Below are 22,853 nucleotides of genomic sequence, written 5' to 3'. Positions count from 1 at the left end.
TGAAAGAAATAGCTGTACTAGATCAGAATTTTTCACTACAAGAAATAGTATTAATTCCTATAAAATTTGTTTAAGGTTAAGATAAAATATTTTAAAAATTAAATGATTAGTCTCAAACTTGTCATTGTTTTTGCAATTTTTTTTTAATTATTATTTTTTAGTAGAGATGGGGTTTTACCATGTTGGCCAGGCTGGTCTCAAACTCCTGACCTCAACTGATCCACTCACTTCAGCCTCCCAAAGTGCTGGGATTACAGGCATGAGCCATCACACCCAGTCTTTTGTCCCAACAGCATTAGTTGACTCCTGACTGTGAAAGGTGAATAAGTCAGTATGCATCTGTTTCTTCTCTCCTTTTTCCCCCGCATCTCTATTTTTTTTGTTAATTATGTTATTCTTACTTTGCTCAAGTTGATAACATTAAATTCTGTATTGCAACCAGAATTTTCCCAGATGTTTAGTTTCATTCTCTACATAACTGAATTAATTGTTTACAACAATCCTTTTTCTATGACTTCTCCATTCCTGGATTATTAACTTTTATTTAGTTCTTGATTGGCTGGATTTCATTGGCAAAATGGTTTTAAAGGACTCACAGATTGTTCATATTTGAAAATGAATGCCTGTCTCCTTGATTCATGATTAACAATTTTTGCTGTGCCAAGTATCCTTGTGTCATTCTTTAACCCTGGGAAATGTCTATACATTGCTCCATTGTCTTCAGTAATAAGTGTTCCTGTAGAGAATTTGGAAGCCATCCCACATTTTCCTTCTTTTGGTGACTCGCTTTATTCTGGCTGAATATTTGAAGAATTCTTTCATGTTCAGCAACTTAACCAGTGTGTCAGTGTCTATTGCTTTATGTCAGTTTTCTGAGATACAGACTATGCCTTTAAGTGTACATCTTTTTATCCTTCACTTCAAGGATATTTTCTGTACTTTCTTTTTGAAAATTTGGAATGCTCCCTTTGCTCCTTCTTTATTGGATTGCTTTATTTAGCAGAGCCAATTATCCTTATGCTTATCTGCCTAGGCAGATAAGGAAGGTATTATCTGCCTTCCTTATCAACTGTAAGTCTATTTCTCTTTGAACTGGTTGATTTTGCTCAAAATTCTCAGGATGAACTGGTTGATTTTGCTCAAAATTCTCAGGATTTCTCTTACTTACAATATTACGCCAGTACTGATTCTGGTGGAGGTGGAGTAGCCTTAGAAATGATGCAGGACTGCACTTGAACTTTCTGTATTTTCTTTGCCCAATACTTTTTGAAGTTTATAGTATAAGTTTGAGCCCCTTTTCTTGTTTGGTTAAATTTGGGGCTCTTTATCCATGTTTTTGCAACAAAAAATCACATTGTTAGATAATAAATTCTGTGATACAGCTTTACTTTACCATCTTTATATGGGAGTTCTGAATCATTTTAACAGCTGGATAAAATTTCGTTGTTTGTATGTATGTGTAATAATTTTATTTAACAACTACCCCATTGATGAACATGTGAGTTATTTGTTTTGTAAAAATATGATTAAAAATAATTGTGCACATACTGATAAGAGAAATTAAAGAAAAACTAAATAAATGGAAAAATATACTGTCTCCATGGATTGGAAGATTCATTTTGTTAAGATGTTAATTATCCCTGGACCAGTATGGTTGTTCATGCCTGTAATCCTAGCAACTTTGGGAAGCCGAGGTAGGCAGATCAACTGAACTCAGGAGTTCAAGACCAGCCTGGGCAATGTGGCGAAACTCCATCACTACAAAAAATACAAAAATTAGTTAGGCATGGTGGCTTGGCCCTGTAGTCTGAGCTAACTTGGGAGGCTAAGGCAGGAGAATTGCTTGAGTCCAGGAGGCAGAAGTTGCAGGGAGCCGAGATTGCGCCATTGCACTCCAGCCTGGGCAACAGAGAGGAAGACCCTGTCTAAATAAATAAATAAATAAATAAATAAGAAAATAAAATTAAAAAGATGTTAATCATCCCAAATTGGTCTATAAATTCTATGCAATCTAAATCAGATACTTTTGTAGAAATTATCACAATTTATATGTAAATTTAAAGGACCTTTATATTTAGCCTTCTTGAGGTTCATGATATTTCTTAAATCTGTGGCTGGATGATTTCATCATTCTTAGAAAATTCCCAGGCTATTTTCTTCAAAATTCTCTTCAACTATTCTTTCTGTACCATTCTCTCTCTTTTTTCTAGCACTCTCACTATAAATCTGTTTTATAATTCTGATTTATCCTTATTCCTAGAATTCAGGCTTTGATGGTTCCAATTCAAAGCATGGAAATATGTTATCTTAGAGGGTCCTAGACTCCAGTTTTCATCCTTTAGCCTCTGAAGCTGCTCAAAATTCTGCTCTGCCTTTCAACAGTCTATTCAGAAATCATTAAGCACTTCCAAGGAAAAAAGCCCTATTTGCCAGGCTCAACTCTATATATTTCTGTCTTTTCCTAGATCATAGAAAAATAATTCTTAACTACCTTATTAGCTCTCTGATATTTTAAAGTGTGTGTATGTGTGTGTGTGTGTGTGTGTGTGTGTGTGTGTGTGTGTGTGTGTGTGTGTATTTTTTCATCCAGCTTTTCTGTTTGCCCTCAGTCAAAGGCTTGGTTCAAATTACCTAGTCCTCTAAAGAAAATGTGGTACCTATACACAATGGAGTACTATTCAGCCATAAAAAGGGATAAGATACTGTCATTTGCAACAACATGGATAGAACCAGAAGTCAGTATGTTAAATGAAATAAGCCAGGCACAGAAAGGCAAACTTCATATGCCCTCACTTATTTGCAAGAGCTAAAAATTAAAACAATGGAATTCAGGAGCTAGAGAGCAGAAGGATGGTTACTAGAGACTGGGAAGGGTAGTGGGGGAGGGGAAGTGGGGAAAGTTAGCAGGTACAAAAAAATAGTTAGAAAGAAAGAATGAATAAGACCTAGTATTCGCTAGCACAACAAAGTGATTATAGTCAAAAATAATTTAATTATACATTTCATAATAACTAAAAGAGTATAATTGGATTGCTTATGACACAAAGAATGAATGCTTGAGGTGATGGGTACCCCATTTACCCCGATGTGATTATTATATGTTACATGCCTGTATTAAAATATCTCATGTACCCCATAAAGATATATACCTACTATATACCCACAAAATAAAAATAAATAAAATAAAAACATTTAAAAAATAAAGAAGAACAAATTACCTAGTCTTTCTTATAGAAACAAAAGTTCCCTGGGTGTTTATTTTTAAAAGAAAATAATTAATTTCCCATTTACCATGTGAAATGAGGGTGCATATTTTCAAAATATCTTGATCTTATGACATACCTCCTTACTTTCATTCTCCGCAGGCTAGCCTCTCAGAACAGTACATGGAGATCAAATTCCTGGAACATTCTGCAGGACGTTTTCTGCAGGCAACTCCTGTGTGTATACCAGGAAGTACCTGTGAATATGGAAGCACTGGCTTATTATCTTTGTTTTGATGGGAAGAAGGAAAATGATTTTAAAAGCTGACTGCAAAATTTTGTTTAAGGAGGGAACTATGTGTTTGTTCAGGAACACAGCTTAATAGGAAAGTTGGGTAGCCTACCTAGATAATGGTCACATGGTAAAACAAAGACAGTTCAATTGCTCCACTTAACAGAAATTTTGGTGGGAGAGGAGGTCAAACTTTTACCGGTTGAGGAAGGAAGGAAGTGAGATAGGGAGAAGGGAATCTGAGTAAAAGGGAATGTCGGTGAGATATAAATGAAAATTCCTCCAGGTGGGGAGAAGACTGACAGATGTGTCGAGATAAGGATGTCTAAGTTGTTTTACACCAGATTTCCGTTTCTGCATTGCCAAGCTCCCTCCATGGCCCTGAGCCTGCCATTACATCTGCCCAGATATAGCATTAGGCAGTGGGTACTTTGGGGCCAGAAGGGACTGTGGCAATATCTGATGTTGACCTGATATAATAAAGGGATTTGGATTATGTTGTAAACCAAAAATAAAATCCTACATCCCCCCACCAATTGACTGAACTGACCTCCCCCCTTGGCCAGGGGACCCCAGAAGAACCTGAAAAACTGAATGAATTCCCGGCCCTGACAGGAAGGAAGGTCGGACAGGCCTCCTTACACTCCCTCTTTTGGAGTTTAGGCACAACTGACCAAGATAGAGATCATAAGACTGACAAAACAGACTCTTCGGCAATAAGATACCAAATTCCAACCTGACTCTGGTATAGCATCCATGACAGATAGCAGACCCTGAAGGAAATCAAAATATTTTACCCCAAAATATATTTCTTTGACATATTTTAAAATGGCTCTGCAAAGTGGTCTTTTGTGGGGAAATTCTGCATCTATAGAGAATCTCCATTTATGCAGCTAGGGCTTTCCCAGATCTAGGAGAGATTAAGCCTAAGCCCTCTTAAGGTCCACAAAGAGACGTTTACTATCTATTTGTCTCTGAAGCCTCCTACCTGGAGGCTTCATCCATGTAACAAGAATGTTGGCTTCCATGACCCCCCTTAAGCATTTCTTCCTACTGACTTCGTGTCTTTAGTTTAACTCTTTCAACCAATGGCCAATCATAGAATTTTTGAATCCACCTATGACCCTTGAATTACACCCCCATGCCCCTGCCCCTTCGAGGTGCCCCGCCTTTTGGGACTGAACTGTATTAATTTATGCCTTTGCTTGTAACTTCTGTCTCCCTAAAATGTATAAAACCAAACTGTAACCTGACCACCCTGAGCACCTCAAGCACACTTTTTCAGGACCTCCTGAGACTGGTCTCCATGCCACGGTCACTTACATTAGCTCAGAATAAACCTCTTTAAATATTTTACAGAGTTTGCTTTATGTTGATTGATAATGTATACATGAGGAAAAACTCCAAGCAGAAACCAACGATACAGTAGAAAGAATTCAGGACCAGACCCTCAGGTACCCCAAGAGAACCCAGATCGATAGGTAGAGAATGATGAGTTTTCACAATATATGGAATGGGAGGTAAAGCAGTTTAACCAAATCCTAACAGACAAGTTGACACCTGCAGTTTGTAGGACTTGCAGGACAATCAGACTGCTGATATCCAGGCTATATTTGTATTCCTCAAAGTTCATAGTATGGTACCTTGTGGCACATAGGTAGGAACAAATGATTTATGAAACAGAATTAAATAGGTATCTAAATCCCAGCAATGTTTATGCAACTTTTTTCTTTTTTAGCCTGCATGTGCCAGGCACGACTCCTCTCCCATTCTCCCACTTCTTCCTAATGTGTATTTCTATTCCCTACTGGCCCCTCCTTCCCAGAAAAAACCTTTGTCCTTTTGTTATTATCTATCTACCAAGGGTGGGAATGGCTTAGAAAAACGAAACAGTCTGGATGTATTAGCTGGGAGGTAGTAAAACATAGTGATTAAGGACATGCTCATTTATCTAAATCCTGCTTTCGTTTTTTCTTGTTTTATTCCTATAGTACTTATTATTCTAAATTATCATATAATTTATTTATTGTGCCAGACAATGCCTTTAGCACACAGCTCCATCCAGGCTTCTTCTCTAATTTCCCTTGTACTGTTGGGGCCGAAAGGCTGTAAACTACATTTCCTGTACTCCTTGGTCAGCTTTGTGCTTGTTAGTATCTGCCCTTGGGAGGCATTAATGAGAGATATGAAGATAAGAAGATGGAGGCAGAGTTTATCTTCTGTTCATTAACACAAGTATGCCTCCAACACTGTGGACTCATGAATTTCAACCATGGGGTGGGAATCACTTTCTGAATTCTAGTGGCAGTGTTTCCAGCAACGTCAGCAATAGTGTCTCCATCAGTGTTAGTAGCAGCAACAGTCTCTCCAGCAGTACAGTGATAAATACTGGGCTTATGGGCATCAGCTAGGGGCAGTAGCAGCTTCCTGATCTCTGAGTAACACCCCTTCCCACTTTTTACCCTCTAAGTCAGGAGTGATGATAATTTCCTGATTTCCATGGATGTAAGTTACCTATTGCCAAAATAGTTCCATGAAACATACAACCATAACATTTTAGTAGCATTCAAAAATAAAAGAATGTAGTGTTTGTCTATCCAGGGTTAGCTAGGTGTTGGCTGGTTGTTGGCTCGGATGGGCTGGCCTTGACTGCGGCCACTAGACTCTGAGACATGGGTTTCTTGTCCTCCAGCAAGAGAGCCTGAGCATGTTCTATGGTGATGGCAGGCATCCGAGAGGCAGCAAGTGGAAACGTGCAGAGCCTCATGAGCCTGGATTTAGAAGTGGCTCATCATCACTTCTGCCCCATAAGTCACATAGGGTGGAGAAATGCACTCCACTTTTATGGGAGGGACTCCAAAGTCACATGGCAAAGGATCTGGGTACGGGGAAGGGTAAAGGATTGTGACCATAAATGCAATCAGTCTGCCATACAGGTAATATTCCCTTTCCTCTTTTGTTCTTCCAGCCCTTCCAGAAATTTTCCCACCAGTTACATGCGTTAAATCTTTTTGCTTTGATTATCGAGAACGGTTTTTCTTTTCCTCATTGGATACTGACTGATATGCTTATTTATTATATGTATTGCTTGTATTCATTTCCTATTACTGTCATAGCACATTACCACACACTTAGCAGTTCAAAACAACAGAGATTTATTATCTTATTGTTCTATTGGTCAAAAGTCTGGTGGGCTCAGCTGCTTTCTCTGGCTAGAGTCTCTCAAAGCCAAAGTCAAGGTGTTGGCAGGGCTGCCTTCATTTCTGGAGGCTCTAGGGGAGAATCTGTCTTCTTGCTTATGCAGATTGCTGGCAGAATTTAGTTCCTTGTGATTGATAGACTCAGGTTCCTGTTTCCTTGTTGGCATTCCCAGTTTCCAGAGGCCACTCATATTCCTTGGCTCATGGCTCCTTCCTTCATCTTCTAAGCCAGCAACAGTAGGTCAAGTACCCCTCATGCTTCAAATCTTTCCTGCCTCTTCTTCCATCCCATGTCTCTGACTGATTCTTCTGCTTTCTTCTTCCACTTCCAAGGGCCCATGTGATTACACTGAGCCCAACTGGATAACCCACGATACTTTCCCCATCTCAAGGTTCATAACATTAATCATAGCTGCAAAGTCCTTTTTGCCATCCAGTGTAACATATTCACAGGTTCTGGGGATCAGGACATGAACATATTTTGGGAGCCATTATTCTGCCAACCACATTGTTTATAATCTGTCCCCCCCTTGCTAGAAAATTGCCTTCAGAGAGCTTGTTTCATTCACTGACGCATCCCAAGTGTCTAGAACAGTGCCTAGCATAAAGTGGATAATAAATATTCATTGAATTGAATGAATGAGGCTTTAAGGGTCCAAAAACCTAAGTTGAAATTTTAGTTTTGCCACTGATACCTTTTAGTCTCATTTCTTCATATATAAAATAGAGTTAATTATACCTACTTCTTGGGCATATATGTTGTTGATGATGATATTAGATAACACAGTTGACACTTGAACAACTCAAGTTTGAACTGTGCAAGTCTACTTACAGCAGCTTTTCTCCAACTAAACATGAATGGAAATTACAGCATTCCTGGGATGTGAAACCCATGTATGGGGAGGGCTGACTTTTCCTATATGCTTGTTCTGCAGGGCTGACTGCGGGACTTGAGTATGCTTGGATTTGATTATACACGGGGTTCTGGAATCAATCCCCTGTGTATACTGAAGGATGACTGCATTCATATAACAGATACACACATTTAAAATTTATGAATGTGTTTTTCTCATTTTGCATTCACCCCGTTCATTCAGAGATGCATCACAGAGAGTTGGGAGTATTACAAAAGGAAACCAAAGAGGAAGTGGGAGGTTATATGTAGTTTTTGACATCCAAAGTAGGACTTTGGAGAGGGAAGGGGGATCACAGAAGAAGAAACTTTAAACTTTTTTAAAAAGGAAAAAAATTCAAATTTTGTTTGTTGCTCATCCAGAACAAGTCTAACTGACAGGATTATAAAGTTTCTTTCAAAGTGTAGAGCAGACTCCCTTTCCATCATTATGGCTGAGCTGTGAGGCTTGGCTTAGAGGCTTCGGAAGGAAAGAGGCTAGAACACAGGAGAAGTTCACAGGAGATAGGAAAATGAAGGAGGAATTCTGCCCTTCTCTGATGGAATGACAAAGACGACGAGAGACAACAAGAGGGCAAAGAGGTCATGTATGAGGAACTGCAAGGCTGGGGAGGCAAATACCATTTGCCTCAGACAGTTTGGCTGGGCCACCAAGTCTCTAGGACAGAGCTGTTCAGTAGAAATCTAATGTGAACCATATATGTAATTTTAACTTTTCTGCTGGCCACGTTTTTAAAGCAAAAAGAAACAGGCGATGCTTAGCTGCAGGAATTGTTGGGAAAGAAGCATTTCCCTGTTCCAGTTTCTAAAGCGGAGGCTGGCAATGTGGAAGAGGATTAGGAATGAGCTGCCCTACTGGTGACATCTAGAAAGAACCACTTCGTGGGGTTGACGTGAACCACTAGTCCTTCATTAGGGAAGCAAGCTGTGGTCTGATCCTTTTGGTTGTTTCTTTTTGTAGCATGTGCAAGTATATTAGATTCAGTGGTTTCAAGGTTTCAAGATACAGATATGTCCTTAGGTTATTTCCACAAATGAGGGTTAATTATTATATAAGGCTACTTAGGAAAATAAAGGAGACAGAAAGTTGTCTCAGGCCACGTGGTCAGGCCTCCATGGAAACAAAAACATGGTCCAGGAAGTGGTTGTAGCCCCATTACTCCAGTAGTAGCTCTGGTGACACTGCCACAACAGTATCTGGTTGGCGACTCTTCAGAATTGGGCATCTGCAGATCCCTGCTCTGGGGCTCCACCATGACAATGATGCATATATTTTGCCTCTGCACCTGCTGCTCCTGACTTTACCAACAGACTTTCTCTGTGTGTCCATATTGAATGCCCTGACAGAGCATCTGGTTGGACAGCCTTCACCATCCAGCTGGTGGAGTTCTTGCTCAAGGTCACCTTCAGGCTCTGGCTAATCCAACAATAGCTTCCTTGTTCTATTAATGTGACGGGGTCATGGGTCATGTACCATCACTCTTGGTCACCCTCAGAAGGAGACTACGGGTGAGGCAGGCTCCCTAAGGCTTTGCAGAAGAGGTAATGAACCAATGGCTAGTCCTGGCTCCCTGGTTCTAGGCCATCTGCTGAGCCAGGCCAATCTGGCCATTTTTTTTTTTTTTATTGCAGCTGCTTTACCATTTACAAAGAGTTATTCATCTAGCTTCATTGGCTCAAGGTTAAAGCCCTAAAAGCTTTCTGCTTTAACTGCTCAGATTGCCAGAAAACTAGGACAAATAAATAAATTAACAAAAAGCCTACTAAAAGAAGGAAAAAAAGAAGAAATAGGCCAGGCGTGGTAGTTTATATCTGTAATCCAAGCACTTTGGGAGACTGAGGAAGGAGATTTGCTTGAGCCCAGGAGTTAGAGCCTGCAGTAAGCTATGATGGCAACTCTGCACTCTGGCTGGGACAACAGAGCAAGATCATGTCTCTAAAAAAGAAAGAAATCTAAAAAAGAAAGATAAAATCAATAATGTATTTTATCTAACTCAATATATCCAAAATATTATCATTTCAACATGCAATCAATAGAAAAAATTAATGAGATATTTTACTTTTGGGGGGGTCAGTCTTTGAAATCTGATGTGTATTTGGTGCAGCACATCTCAATTCAGACTAACCTCTTTTCAACTGCATAAAGAAATTTCTAGAACTCCTGCAAGCCATATGTAGACTATATATTGAATGATGAAACTTTAAGGGAAGCCTCCCCTATGGCCACATCCAGTACAGTATAAATGGTAGCCAGAGGAGGAGCAGAGAGGTGGCAATGTTCCTGATTTCCCATAGTTACATATGATATGCAGGGGTTCTAGAAGTTTCCCTGTGCTTCCATGAGGGGACAGGTGAAGATGAGAGGGCTGGTTTGCTGGCCGAGTCCTGCAGTCAAGACAGAGTAAACCCTGTATATGTGGACTTCATGACTGAAGGTGAACGTCAAGGACCATGGACTCCAGTGATGGATGCCAGTGCATCATTGCAAAGGCCTGACAACTCAGAGGTCACCTGCCCAGGATCTGGATCAGACAAGTCACAGTGCATCAGAAGCCGATGAGGATCCAGAGCAGGGCCCGAGGTGAGTACAAATGCAGCCCCAGCCTGCTTCTATCTCTTCTCAACCCCAACTTTGTCTGGAAGGTTTGCACAGGCACATAGACCCCCCAGGCTGCAGGTCCAGGCTCCTTCACCCCAATCCCATTCTGCTACAGCTTCTCCTTGGCCACCTCTTTGGCCTAAGGGTATGCATACTTGTTGTGGGGTCCACCATCAGGAGATAAACCTAAGGAGGAAGCCTGCAGAGGCCCTGAAAGTGCACTGGAGAAGTTGGGAAGGAAGGGATTCCTGTGTCCTGGGTATCCTGAATATGACGCAGTAGTGGAGGTGCAGACTCTGGTGAGCACATCTCCTTGGCTGCCTGGAGACCCTGCCCCTTGGTGTGGGCTGTGACAAGAGAAAAGTCAGAGCAAGAACTGCCCCCGCCTGCCAAGGGCAGCTCTTGCTCAAGCCTAAGGGCAGCATGGCTCCAAGGATTTGAGTCCCTTTTGCTGACACAGCATTGACAACCTTTAGGCCATGATTCCACCCAAAACTCTAAATTTCACCCTAAAGAGGATTGTGGGTGGGAAAGGAGAGCTTGGAAGGTTGAGTACATGCTCTAAAAAGATGGAGTTAAAAGAGTTTAAACTGAAAGAGACTCTGATGCTATAAATTATCAAATTTAAATTCTGTTTTTCTCCTACTATTCAATGACTGAGGAAGAAAGTGAAGATTGTTAGATAAAATCCATTGTGAGAGCAACATTTTCTTTGCATATCTGAGTATAGTGTATAAATTTGGGGGTCCCATGACATATACAAAGTACCATTTGGTAATAACTCAATAAAGTGAGGCAATGATGATGATGATGACTGCAATGCAATTCTGATACTAACTACTTGGCAATTAACATAGACTCCACAGATTCAAGGGCATGAACCCAACAAGACTCTATTCACTTTAGACATCAGCTGTAAGTTCCAGGACTCACAGGCCCTTTGCACTTTTGACCAACTGGGTACAAATTCAGAAGTTTCCACTACCTCTTCAGGGTTGATAATTCAGTAGAGTGACTCACAGAACTTAAAAAAGTGCTATATTTATGACTATAGTTTTATTATAGAGGATACAAGTCAGGACCAGACAAAAGAAAAGACCCATAGGGCAAAGTCTGGAAGGGCTCATATGCAAAACTTCCATGTCCTCAGGATGTGGCACCCTCCTGACACATCAGCGTATCACCAACCAGGAAGCTCAACCCAGCCTTGGTATCCAGAGTTTTTATTGGAGTTTCATTACATAGGCATGGTTGGTTACATCATTTCTGTATGGTTGGAGTCAATCTCTAGCTCCATTCTCCTCCCCAGAGGTGGGGTTGATATCACGCAGCTCAAAGCTTCAACCCTCTCATCACATGGTTAGTCTTTCTAGCATAGACAGATCCCATCCTGAGCCACAGTATTAGCATAAACTAAGATATGGTCTGAGGGGCCCACCATGAATAACAAAGATACTCCTATCACTCAGGAAAATCCAACGACTTAGGTTAGCTCACAGGGACTATGGACAAAGGCCAGCCATGTTCTTTTATATACAACAACAATGATCATGATGATAATGATGTAATTTCTAGTCTACTGAGCTCCTCCCACTTGAGAAACAAAATGCTCTAGCCCAGTTAAATACCCATCTTTTAACAGCATGCTTAAGAAGTAACTCTCATAGTGAAATATGAGGTACGTGTGTGGATCTGCACTTCAAATCCTGCTGTGGTACGGAATGTATTCATGGCCTCAGCATCAGGGAAGAGGCTTCCTGTTGGGTGATCCTCTCCAGTACACACCCTGAAATCTCATCAAGCCATTAATTTCCTTTCCTGTGAACACTTCTCTTGTTAACCCCTGGGCATTTTCCAGTGGAAAATGGAGTTTCTCGCTTTCCCTGGCTCTTGTTTGCAGCCCAGTGAATTAAAACATGAACGAAGTAATTATCGTATTCCATACTGATGGAATACAGGTGGAGGACTGAAAGCAGGGGAATGTCAAGTAGTCCATTTGAGTCCATTGGGACCAGTTGGAGAGAAAGAAAACTGAAAAGGAGAAAGATGCGGAGACGGCAATAGCAGAAGACACAGCATTTAAATAGGAGCCGTCTTAATGAGAATATGTCACCTCAGAGCCAACAGGAAGTCAGCAGATGGGATGCACCTGTCCCTTGAGAGCCTCACGAAGCAAAATTAAGCACCAGAGCCCAGAATGGAAACAGGAAAACCAAATCAAACCCTTCAGATATGCTTCAGCAAATAAACTTTCGGCTCCCAAAACAACAGATGTTGCCCAGATGGGGTGCACCTAACATTTCCCCACACCTCTACATATTCTGAGGCCAAAGCACTATTCAGGGAATCTTACAGCCTGTTTCTTTGGTCATTCTTAGCGTGATTTTCACCACCAACACTCACTCATCCATTTAAATTAAGTTCATGTTGCTTTGGCTATAACAAACAGCTGGAGTTAGGATGGTTCATGTCTATAGACGCTGCTTTGCAAGAGGATGGTAATTTTAACTCAGGTGATGAATTCACCAGGATTTTGGAGGATGAGGAGAAGAAATCTGGTAGAGCCTTTCCCCCAGCTGTTGTTGAAGGCCGGACCCTAGAGCTCTTGGAACAAAGCAGAATTAGTAAGATGGATTGGCTGGCATTTCATGTCAATCACGTAAACCTAATTCAACCCCCAGTACATAGTGCAAATATTTACTGAGCACCTGCCATCTGAGGATGGCAGCTGGTGAGGAAGAGGTCTGTAATGGAGGCTGTTAACCCGTTTATTCAGAACTTCCCTTCTTCCCAAATAAATTTGTGTTAATCGTCTATTTTTATCATGGAAAAACAATTGGGAAGCCTCAATGATATGGGTGGTGGCCTGACTCTGCACTCCCCAGCTGTGGAGTTGCTGTGCCTGGGGCTGCGTGCAGACCTGAGGGGAAAGTGTATTCCAGAAACATTCCATTTTAGTCTCTAAAGGGTGACAGTCCAGGCATAGGTTTATGCTTTCTGAACGGCTGCTTATCAAGACAGAAGCCAACAGTGACATAAGGAGAAAAACTGAAACATAATAAAAGCAATGGGCAAAGCCAGAGCAGAGGCTGAGCACATTCTCCCCACAAGGTTTGCAACTCCTTTACTCCACCTGAACTGCGGGCCTTTGATGAGATCTCTGCAGCTGCAGCAAAGGCTTTCCTTTCCCCGCCACCCTCCCATCTCCACAGCCATTGCAAATGGCACCACTGGCAAACCCTGGATCTTGTTCCTCCCCTGAGAGTTTGCAAAATTACTCTTGAGGGAGGCATGCTGTTCCTGGGCTTTTTGGGTTGCCACTTAGTCACAAAGATCAATGCTGTGACATAACAAAAAATAAGTGGAGGTGGGAGGTGGTCCACAGACTCTGTTGCTATCTCCAGGGGGTTCCCAGAAACATGTTTGAAAGCAAGCTACGGAAAGGGTGGGAAGGACACTTTTTGTTCGTTTAAGAGTTCAGGGTGAAGGGCCTCCAGCCGAGGCCAGATCCACCCCAGGAAAAGATGTGAAGGAAGCAGCCTGACCTCTGTGGCCTCTTCTCTCTTCCCATTCCTCCCACTTTCCCCCATGTCTGTTCCTCTTCCCATTTCCAGAAATTATTTCTCTGGAGAATTGTGTGACTGGTGTGGCTGCAGTATTACCCATCCCAGAAGTACCTGGGGGTGATCTTTTACTTAAGAAAATACCTCCATCCAGTGCATTTTCTGTTTCATTAGGTAATAGGGACATATTTGGGAGCAGGCTGTAGGGAATGGGGATATTTCACCATTTGTTCATTCAACAAATAATTTTTGAGTGCCTATTATAATGTGGACCCTGGTGGGGGCAAGACGGAGGGTTCTTCATGCCCTTTGGTTATTCAACATCAATGCTATGGCTGGTTTCCTCTTAAATTACCTAGGGGCAATATTTCACCACAGTGAATACTGATTTTCTTTCAAAGTCAACGTGTCCTATTCTCAATGAGGAAAGCATTATGGTGTTAAAAAACATTTGCATTTTCCTGGTTCAGATTATATTACAAGGGTCCCAAATTTAGCTGAGAGTGGCTCTACCTGAGTTGTGTGCAGTTGGCTTAAATGTAAATTTCCAGATCTTTTTCCTGAGTTCCATATGCATATCTCCATCTGCCTATTAATCAGCTCTACTCAGATGTCCTACAGGTACCTCAAATTCTTTATGTTCAAAGTCAAACTCACTGTCTTGGAAACCTGCTCTTCCTTCTCCTGTGTGCCCTGACTCACTGAATAGCTTCACCACCTACCTGGTTACCCAAGCCAGCAACCCGGGCATCAGTCTTGAAGATTCTTCCTTGCTCACTCTTTCAAACCAATCACCAAGTCCTGACTATTCTACCACATACAGAAGAATAAAGATTTGCCATGTGTTTGGATCAGAATTGGTCAAAGGCATGTTTTAATTTCAGCACTTTATAAAGAGAAAATTAAACTAGGAAGTTGGGTGCTTTCTGTGTTACATAATACACTGAATGGTAGTTTAGTTAATACAATTACTTCACCTACAATTACACAAATAATTCACTTTCCCATAACAAATATATTTATGACATAGATAAGCAATTTCTCAAAAGAAAGTATTTTCTTATCCTCTAGGGTTATCACAAGGCTTTAAGGGTTATATTTCCAAGAGGCTACATAAAAGCGCTACAAACACTTGGTAAACCCCTTGCTCTTTCTCAGCATAGAGAGGAACTGAAATAATAATTCATGATTCAGAACATGTACATTTTAGTCTTACTTGAGATCTTTGCCTTGCCTGGATTATTTTTTCATTATACTCTGATTATTGCTAAGATGTAAGTGTTCTATAAACTTGTCTTCCTTATCTCGCTGAGATGGGCAATAAATAACATAGCACTTAATTTCTTAAAGTACTTATGTCAACAGGATGACTTTTCTTTCCAGGGATTTTCAGCAAATATCAAGATGACTTAAGACTTCAGTTTTAACCGAGGTTAATAGAAGTTTGAGATGTCTCATTCTTCGGTCCATATTTGTAAAGTTCTCTTGGATCTATTCTACCTCACAGTTTCCATGGTCATTGTGCTAGTTTAGGCTTCATTACAATTGACCCAGAAGACTGACCAACAATCCCTAAAAGGCCCAACGCTTCCAGTCTTGCTACCTTTCCAACCATTCCCCAGCCTGAATGATGTTTCAAATATGTGCAAGCATGCTTTTGTCATTCTTCTGTTTAAAACTATTTATGGGCTTTTGCTAGCTCATGGATGAACTAGAAACTATTTAGAGTGGTACAATAGGCCTTGAAGATTCTGGCCTCTAAGTGAATGCTCTCCACTATTTGTGACATGCTTAAATCAGGCATGTGCAAATTTGGATGGTTCTTGCCATCCATCTGGCCACGAAACTAGTACCCAAACAGGAAATCACTTCCCCCACATCCCTTATCTAGTAGTTGTTATGACTTCTTATAAAAAATTTGAAATACAAAAAAAGTTGTAGGACAATGAATACTCACATACCTACCACATAGATTCAAAAAGTGTTTGCTTTTTGCCATCTTTTCTTTATATACCTATAGTTTTATTGTTTGCTTGCTGAACCATTTGAAAGAAAGCTATAGACATCATGGTTCTTTACCCTTAAATATGTCAGGATTCATTTCTAAAGAATCATAGTGTTCTCCTATTAAACTACATCTGAGTAACTGTTTCGAAACTCTGGAGTCTATTTGAAGGCTTGCAACTTCTACGGGAAGACTTGGGTAGTAAACTGTGATTAATTTTGGTCAATTTCAGCTTTTGGTGTGAGCATCCCTCTGCCACCCCACCACCCCCAGCTTCGTGGCAGGCAGCTGTGCACAGGTTCCAGGAGCATGCATACAGCTTGTGGGAGCCAGGGTGGTCAATGAGGACCCTCTCCTCCAAATATCAAAGATCTGTGCCCTGATTGCTGTTTATGATCATGGAGGTGCTGATATAAGAGAGCGGCCTTATTGCAACCCTCACTGCCATTGTTACAAGCCCCACCTTCTCTGACTGAAGCAACTTCCAGGAGATTTAAAAGACTAGTGCATTTCTCTGCCCCCTTCATTTTTCTTTTTTTACTCCTTTTGGAAGCCAGACATTTAAATATTAGAACATTTAAAGGCAAACACATTTCTAAGAAAATTTAGAAAGCCACTATCATGCCCAGGGAAAGGTACAGGATAGGGGAAGTAGTTCCAAAGCACAGGAGAATTTTATTATTTAAACAGCCAGTACTACTAACCGTGCAGATAAACACAAGTCGAATGTTAACCTCAGAGCCATACTAATGGCTCTGGATGCCATAGGAAGGGCATGGAGAGCCACAATGGTCTTATGAGATCTGATGTGGTTTTGACAGTGTTTTCTGAATACAATATGAAGGACAAATTGAAGGAAGGCAAGAGTGGAGGCAAAGAAACCAGTTGTGATACCTTTCAGGGGTTCAGGTTGGGATATGAGAGATATTTAATGTGTGTAATTCTCAAAACTTGGTGATTAACTAGACGTGGGAGGTAAGGAGAAGGAGTCATCAAGGATGACTCCTAGGTTTCTTGCTTGGGAGTTTAGACAGATTTTAACATGAAATGAAATTTTAAAATGAAAATTTTAGACATTTTTCATGCCCCCACAGAAAATCAGGAGACAGGCATGTTTGGAGAGGGGCTGTGTTCAGTCTGGTGTTGGATATGTTCAGTTTGAAGTACCTAAGACCTATCTAAGCAGAGATCCAGTAGGCAGTTGGAGATATGTGTACCACACAGAAAGAGGCCTGGCTGGAGATGATGATTTTGGAATCCTTACATATTGCTGCATGAAATTGCTGAGAGAGAGAGAATACAGGTGAGAAAGGCATGGGTTTGAGTCCAGAGTAACAACAACATGTAAAGAACAGGTAGAAGATAAGGCAGCACAGGGTTAGGTGGAAAACCAAAATATCACACTCTAACAGAAGGCAGGAGAAAGGTGTGTTGGGCATGGTGAATGGGCACTTAGCATCCTTTCCTACCTTCTCTGCTGTCTATGTTGTCTTCTTGGACAGCTCAAGATTACTTTCCCCAGATTCCTTTGCAACTAGAGAACTGGATGCAAATTAGTTTCCACCAATTACATGTGCCATTCAAGATTTAGAAAGTGAAACTGAGGCAGAGGCTGTAGTCCCATTGCTTTTGGCTGTTTTCCGCTGGCAAGTACAATGTTGAAGATGCGGAGCTTTTCCCCAGCAGTGTTGTGGTGTCTAGTCATTAGCCTCGTGATTGCTCAGTTGTCATCGTGGTGGTAGCAGTTTCCTAATCCTAGATTGTAGCCATAGTAGTGTGTTCTGATTCCTTCCTGTACCTTCCCGAATTTGGCAAAGGTGCAAAGGTCCCACCTCCAGTTGGCAGGTCAGTTGTGATAGGGGCATTCTCAGAGATACAGCTGCATCTCAAAACCTTCCAACCTTTCTTTTTTTTTTTTTTTTTGGAGATGGAGTCTTGCTCTGTCACCTAGACTGGAGTGCAGTGACACAATCTCAGCTCACTGCAACCTCCGCCTCTTGGGTTCAAGCAATTCCCCTGCCTCAGCCTCCTGAGTAGCTGGGATTCCAGGCGCCTGCCACCACACCCAGCTAATTTTTGTATTTTTAGTAGAGACGGGGTTTCACCATGTTGGCCGGGCTGGTCTCGAACTCCTGACCTCGTGATCTGCCTCCTCGGCCTCCCAAAGTGCTGGGATTACAGGTGTGAGGGCTTAAAATGTCAAGACTGACTTCTTTTTTTTCTTATTGAAGCCTGAATAATACAGAATATTTCAGGGAGGGAACGGTTGACTGTATTAAATACTGCTAAGAGAGCAAGCAATGTAAGAACTGGAAAAGTCCACTGGATGTGGCAATTTAGCTTGTTGGTCATTTTGGTAGTAACTAAAGCAGTCTTATTGAAGGTGAAAGAAATACACACAGCATCTAATTCATCTCCCTACTTCAGAAAGAACCTCAAAACTCTTATAGGTTTACATGGTGATGTTTTGTGGAAGAAGCACTAGAGTCAGGAGACCCACGTTCTAGTCTTAATCTTGTTGCTATCGAGGTGTGTGAATGCAGTGGAGTCACTTGGCCTCTCATCTCCTCAGCCAGGTGTCCATGCCAGACCGTGCACCATTCTTGCTGCCTCCTAATCCCTACTCCAAGCTGACTCTTTACATGTTTCCCTTAACTCTCCAAAGTATAGCAGCACTAGGTGGTGGCGTTTGAGAATACTCAAAAGATTTGAGGATAGCAAAAGAGAATTACAAGATAGAAATGGTAAACTTAAAATAAGATACCAAACTATACTTCTGGAAAATATCAACTACGCATCTTGCAGCGATCTCCAGTGCACTTCTGTCATCGCACACGAACTAACTGACCTGGGCAGGAATTCCTTTGACCCTGCCTAAACCTCTGGGTCCAGAATCCTAGCTCTTCATTTTCCTCAGGAAAAAGGAAGAAATCCTCCCTTAAAATATAATACATTCTGTACCAACATACTTGCCCTCAAAGAAGATGACTCACTTTGTCAGAGCAGTTTCTTTCTTCATTATTTCCATGTTGCTATTCTAGAAAAGGCTTTATGGTTTATCTTGCAATAATCAAAAGGATCATGGGAAGGTTCTGCTCTCCTGACATTCCCAAAGCAATCTTCTCCCAAATTTGAATTTGAACCTAATTTGCATCCAGTCCTGTAGTTGCAAAGGAATCTGGGGAAAGTAGTCTTGAGCTGTCCAAGAAGACAACGTAGACAGCAGAGAAGGTAGGAATGGATGCTAAGTGCCCATTCACCATGCCCAACACACCTTTCTCCTGCCTTCTGTTAGAGTGTGATATTTTGGTTTTCCACCTAACCCTGTGCTGCCTTATCTTCTACCTGTTCTTTACATGTTGTTGTTACTCTGGACTCAAACCCATGCCTTTCTCACCTGTATTCTCTCTCTCTCAGCAATTTCATGCAGCAATATGTAAGGATTCCAAAATCATCATCTCCAGCCAGGCCTCTTTCTGTGTGGTACACATATCTCCAACTGCCTACTGGATCTCTGCTTAGATAGGTCTTAGGTACTTCAAACTGAACATATCCAACACCAGACTGAACACAGCCCCTCTCCAAACATGCCTGTCTCCTGATTTTCTATGGGGGCATGAAAAATGGTGACCTACATATACACCATGGAATACTATGCAGCCATAAAAAAGGATGAGTTCATGTCCTTTGTAGGGATATGGATGAAGCTGGAAACCATCATTCTCAGCAAACTATCGCAAGGACAAAAAAACAAACATCACATGTTCTCACTCATAGGTGGGAACTGAACAATGAGAACACTTGGTCAGAGGAAGGGGAACATCACACACCAGGGCCTGTTGTGGGGTGGGGGGAAGTGGGGAGGGATAGCATTAGGAGATATACCTAATGTAAATGACGAGTTAATGGGTGCAGCACACCAACATGGCACAGGTATACATATGTAACAAACCTGCACGTTGTGCACATGTACCCTAGAACTTAAAGTATAATAAAAAATATATACAATAAAATAAAATAAAAAAATAATAAAAAGAAAAATAGTGACCTAATCTGCCTAAATTCCCAAGCAAGAAACCTAGGAGTCATCCTTGACGACTCCTTCTCCTTCTTACCTCCCACATCTAGTTAATCACCAAGTCTTGAGAATTACACACATTAAATATCTCTCATATCCCAACCTGAACCCTTGAAAGGTATCACAACTGGTTTCCTTGCCTCCAGTCTTGACTTCCTTCAACTTGTTCTTCATATTGTATTCAGAAAACACTGTCAAAAACTTACATCAGATCTCATAAGACCATTGTGGCTGTCCATGTTCTTCCTATGCATCCAGGGCCATTAATATGGCTCTGAGGTTAACATTCAACTTGTGTTTATCTGCATGGTTAATGGTACTAGCTGCTTAAATAGTAAAATTCTCCTATGCTTTGGAACTACTTCCCCTATCTCCTCTCCACCCATTAACCAAAGAGTGAATGCTGAATCTACTCTGGTTGGTTGATGCTTGTGCCAATCAGTTTCCCCCAAAATATGGACTTCTAGGCACTGCCATTGGCTTCCACCATGAGAGGATTGCCTCATGCCCGTGTCTTGGTGTTTTCCCAATCCAGGTGGGTTTTGCTTGAGGATCACTGTGGTGGTGTTCAGCAGGCAAGCCCTATGCTCACCAAGCTCTAGGCCTTGTCCCAGTGAATTCACTTAACCAGAGCATTCCCAAATCCCATGGTAAAGGGATGACATTACCCCTGATAGGGACTCTGGTACCCTCCCAGGCTGTAGTCAGCTACCACAGGCCAGTGCTCCCTCAGAGTCGCCCTCACCTGGCCATATGTGGGAACATCAGCTTTTGTCGAACTTGGGCTCCTAGAGTACCCAGTGAAAATTGAAAGAGCAAATAAGTGCATATTAATATGCTTCCTACAGGTCCTGGTCAGGTGCCGGGCAGAGTTCAGGAATGATGGGCACTCTCGAGAAAGACAGGCACCCATAAGGATGGTCTGGAGACCAGTGAGAAATTCTTCTCTGTTGAATTACTCCTACATTTATCAGAAGAGCTTGGATACCTGATGGTCATCTGTCCTGGGCATTTACAATATTAATTTTATTACTAAAGGGGAGAGCTAATGGGAATAGAACGCCAGCTGTGTTCATTCTAGATGTATATTAATTCAGTGGAACACCACAGATACCATAATTTCCATTTTATGCATGAGAAAACCGCAGTGCAGGGAGGTTATCTACAGCCTGAGGGGCTGAGCCAAAATACTGAACTGGCAGCTCAGTACGTAATTGCCCACTAGAGCCTCTCATCTAGCCTAAGGAGTAGGTGAAACTCAAGCATGTGATTCCAATATACCATTTTCATGACTTAGTCAATATAAAGATATTGAATAGATAAAAATCTAAGGCAGTATTACAAGCGCTAGGAAACTTTGTTAATGCAATGGCTGTTATTTCAGCAGATGCTGAGAGAAAATTAAGCATCTTGAAAAATACCATTGAAGTTAAGTGGATTCTCCACTTCCTGAGTCTGCGTGTTACTTAATGTGCAGCAATTTAATGGGAAAATCATTGGAAAAGTTTTCTCATGGCTCAGGGGCATCATTTATCTAGTGGCAGTTACATCAAAGAAAAAAAAAATCACATCTATAAACAATTTGTAGTATTACTTAAATCTCTTGGAAAGGAAGACATTGAATAATATCTATAATTTAGCAAATTTAGAGAATAAAATGGAACACATTTTATAATTACATTTAAGATAAATGTAATAGTTTATGAAATTATATCCACGTGTCAGCTGTTAAATATTTTTGTCTTGCCCCTGCCTATCTCTCAAGCCTTCTCTGGTGATTCCTCCTCTCATCCTGGGCTTCAGCAATTCTGTAAGCTTCGGTTCTTGAGAGTCCTCCCTTTTCTTGGAACATTCTTCTCCCTACATCCACAATGCTGAGCATCAGCCCAGGCTCACTTCCTCAGGGTGAGTATCTTTGCCCTTTGGAATAAATCAAGTACCCTTACTGGATATTACAGAACCCTCTGGATGTCTCCCAGCAAAACCTTATTGCCACTGGCTATTAATGTAATCACTTATTCTGGGCCTGTTCTTCTTACCAGACTCTAGGTCCCATGAGGGCAGAGGCGACCGCAGTCCTACTCCCTGCTGCATCTCTAGGGCCCAGTCAGGGGCCCTGGACATACTAGCTGCCCCAAAGCTATTTTCTGAATAAAAAGCTGCATTGCGGCCCATCAAAACACTTTACATTTGCCTTTAAGTTAATAGCACGTGTAGGTTGGGCACAGTGGCTCACGCCTGTAATCCCAGCACTTTGGGAGGCCGAGGCGGGTGGATCACTTAAGGCCAGGAGTTCAAGACCAGCCTGGCCAACGTGGTGAAATCCCGTCTCTACTAAAAATACACACACACACACACACACATACACACACACACACACATAAAAGCATGTATAGATATTTTTAAATTGACTAACAAATTTTTGCAGTCAATCATTTGAAAGTTAAGTTCAAATGATTTTCTAAAAAGATGTAAATTGGGGTTGAAACCCAAGGTTCTCGGCTTCCAGGAATTTTTCTCTAGGGATAGTTATTTAACTGACCGAGCAGCACCCCTCATTATTCTTGGATTTTCCCATACTTGCCAGGGTCTTACTCTCCTTTCTCTTCCTACAATTCATCATCTTCAGAATCTCTACATATGGGCCTGAGCAGACCCCTCATATTGGTTTGAGTTGGACACCATTTTGATCATTAGACCTTTGTTTGCTGTTTGGTGGTTTTTTGTTGTTGTTGTTGTTTTTCAGAAACACGCAAATGTTGTGTTTGATCTGTGGTTAAACACTTCTTGAACACTTCAGACCTCGGCTTCTTGGTGATCTCATAAATTTTCCACAGACTGTGTGTCATTCACAACCTAAGGATCTGGAAGGAAACCCAGCTTTAAAATGCACTTCCCAGTGATTTCAGCCTGAAAGGTGATATGTCTGTTTTTCTAACATCTCAAAGTCACTGGAATGTGCATTGGCAATGTTTCTAGACCAGATTTCTGGGGAACTGG

The 22,853-nt window shown here is 41.4% G+C and overlaps 1 long non-coding RNA gene across 1 annotated transcript in view; it reads right to left on the bottom strand.

Moving 5' to 3' along the window:
- LOC105379048 (uncharacterized) overlaps positions 1-22,853 on the bottom strand; it is a 115,841-nt gene that overhangs the window by 76,200 nt on the left and 16,788 nt on the right. Inside the window, exon 2 of the long non-coding RNA XR_948500.3 lies at positions 3,343-3,460. This is a non-coding gene — a long non-coding RNA (uncharacterized LOC105379048). The remainder of the gene's footprint in view (positions 1-3,342; positions 3,461-22,853) is intronic.

The sequence above is a fragment of the Homo sapiens genome, chromosome 5 (assembly GCF_000001405.40).
Source record: "Homo sapiens chromosome 5, GRCh38.p14 Primary Assembly".
In the NCBI taxonomy this organism is placed as follows: Eukaryota; Metazoa; Chordata; class Mammalia; order Primates; family Hominidae; genus Homo; species Homo sapiens.
This window is presented reverse-complemented; position numbering and strand designations above follow the sequence as displayed.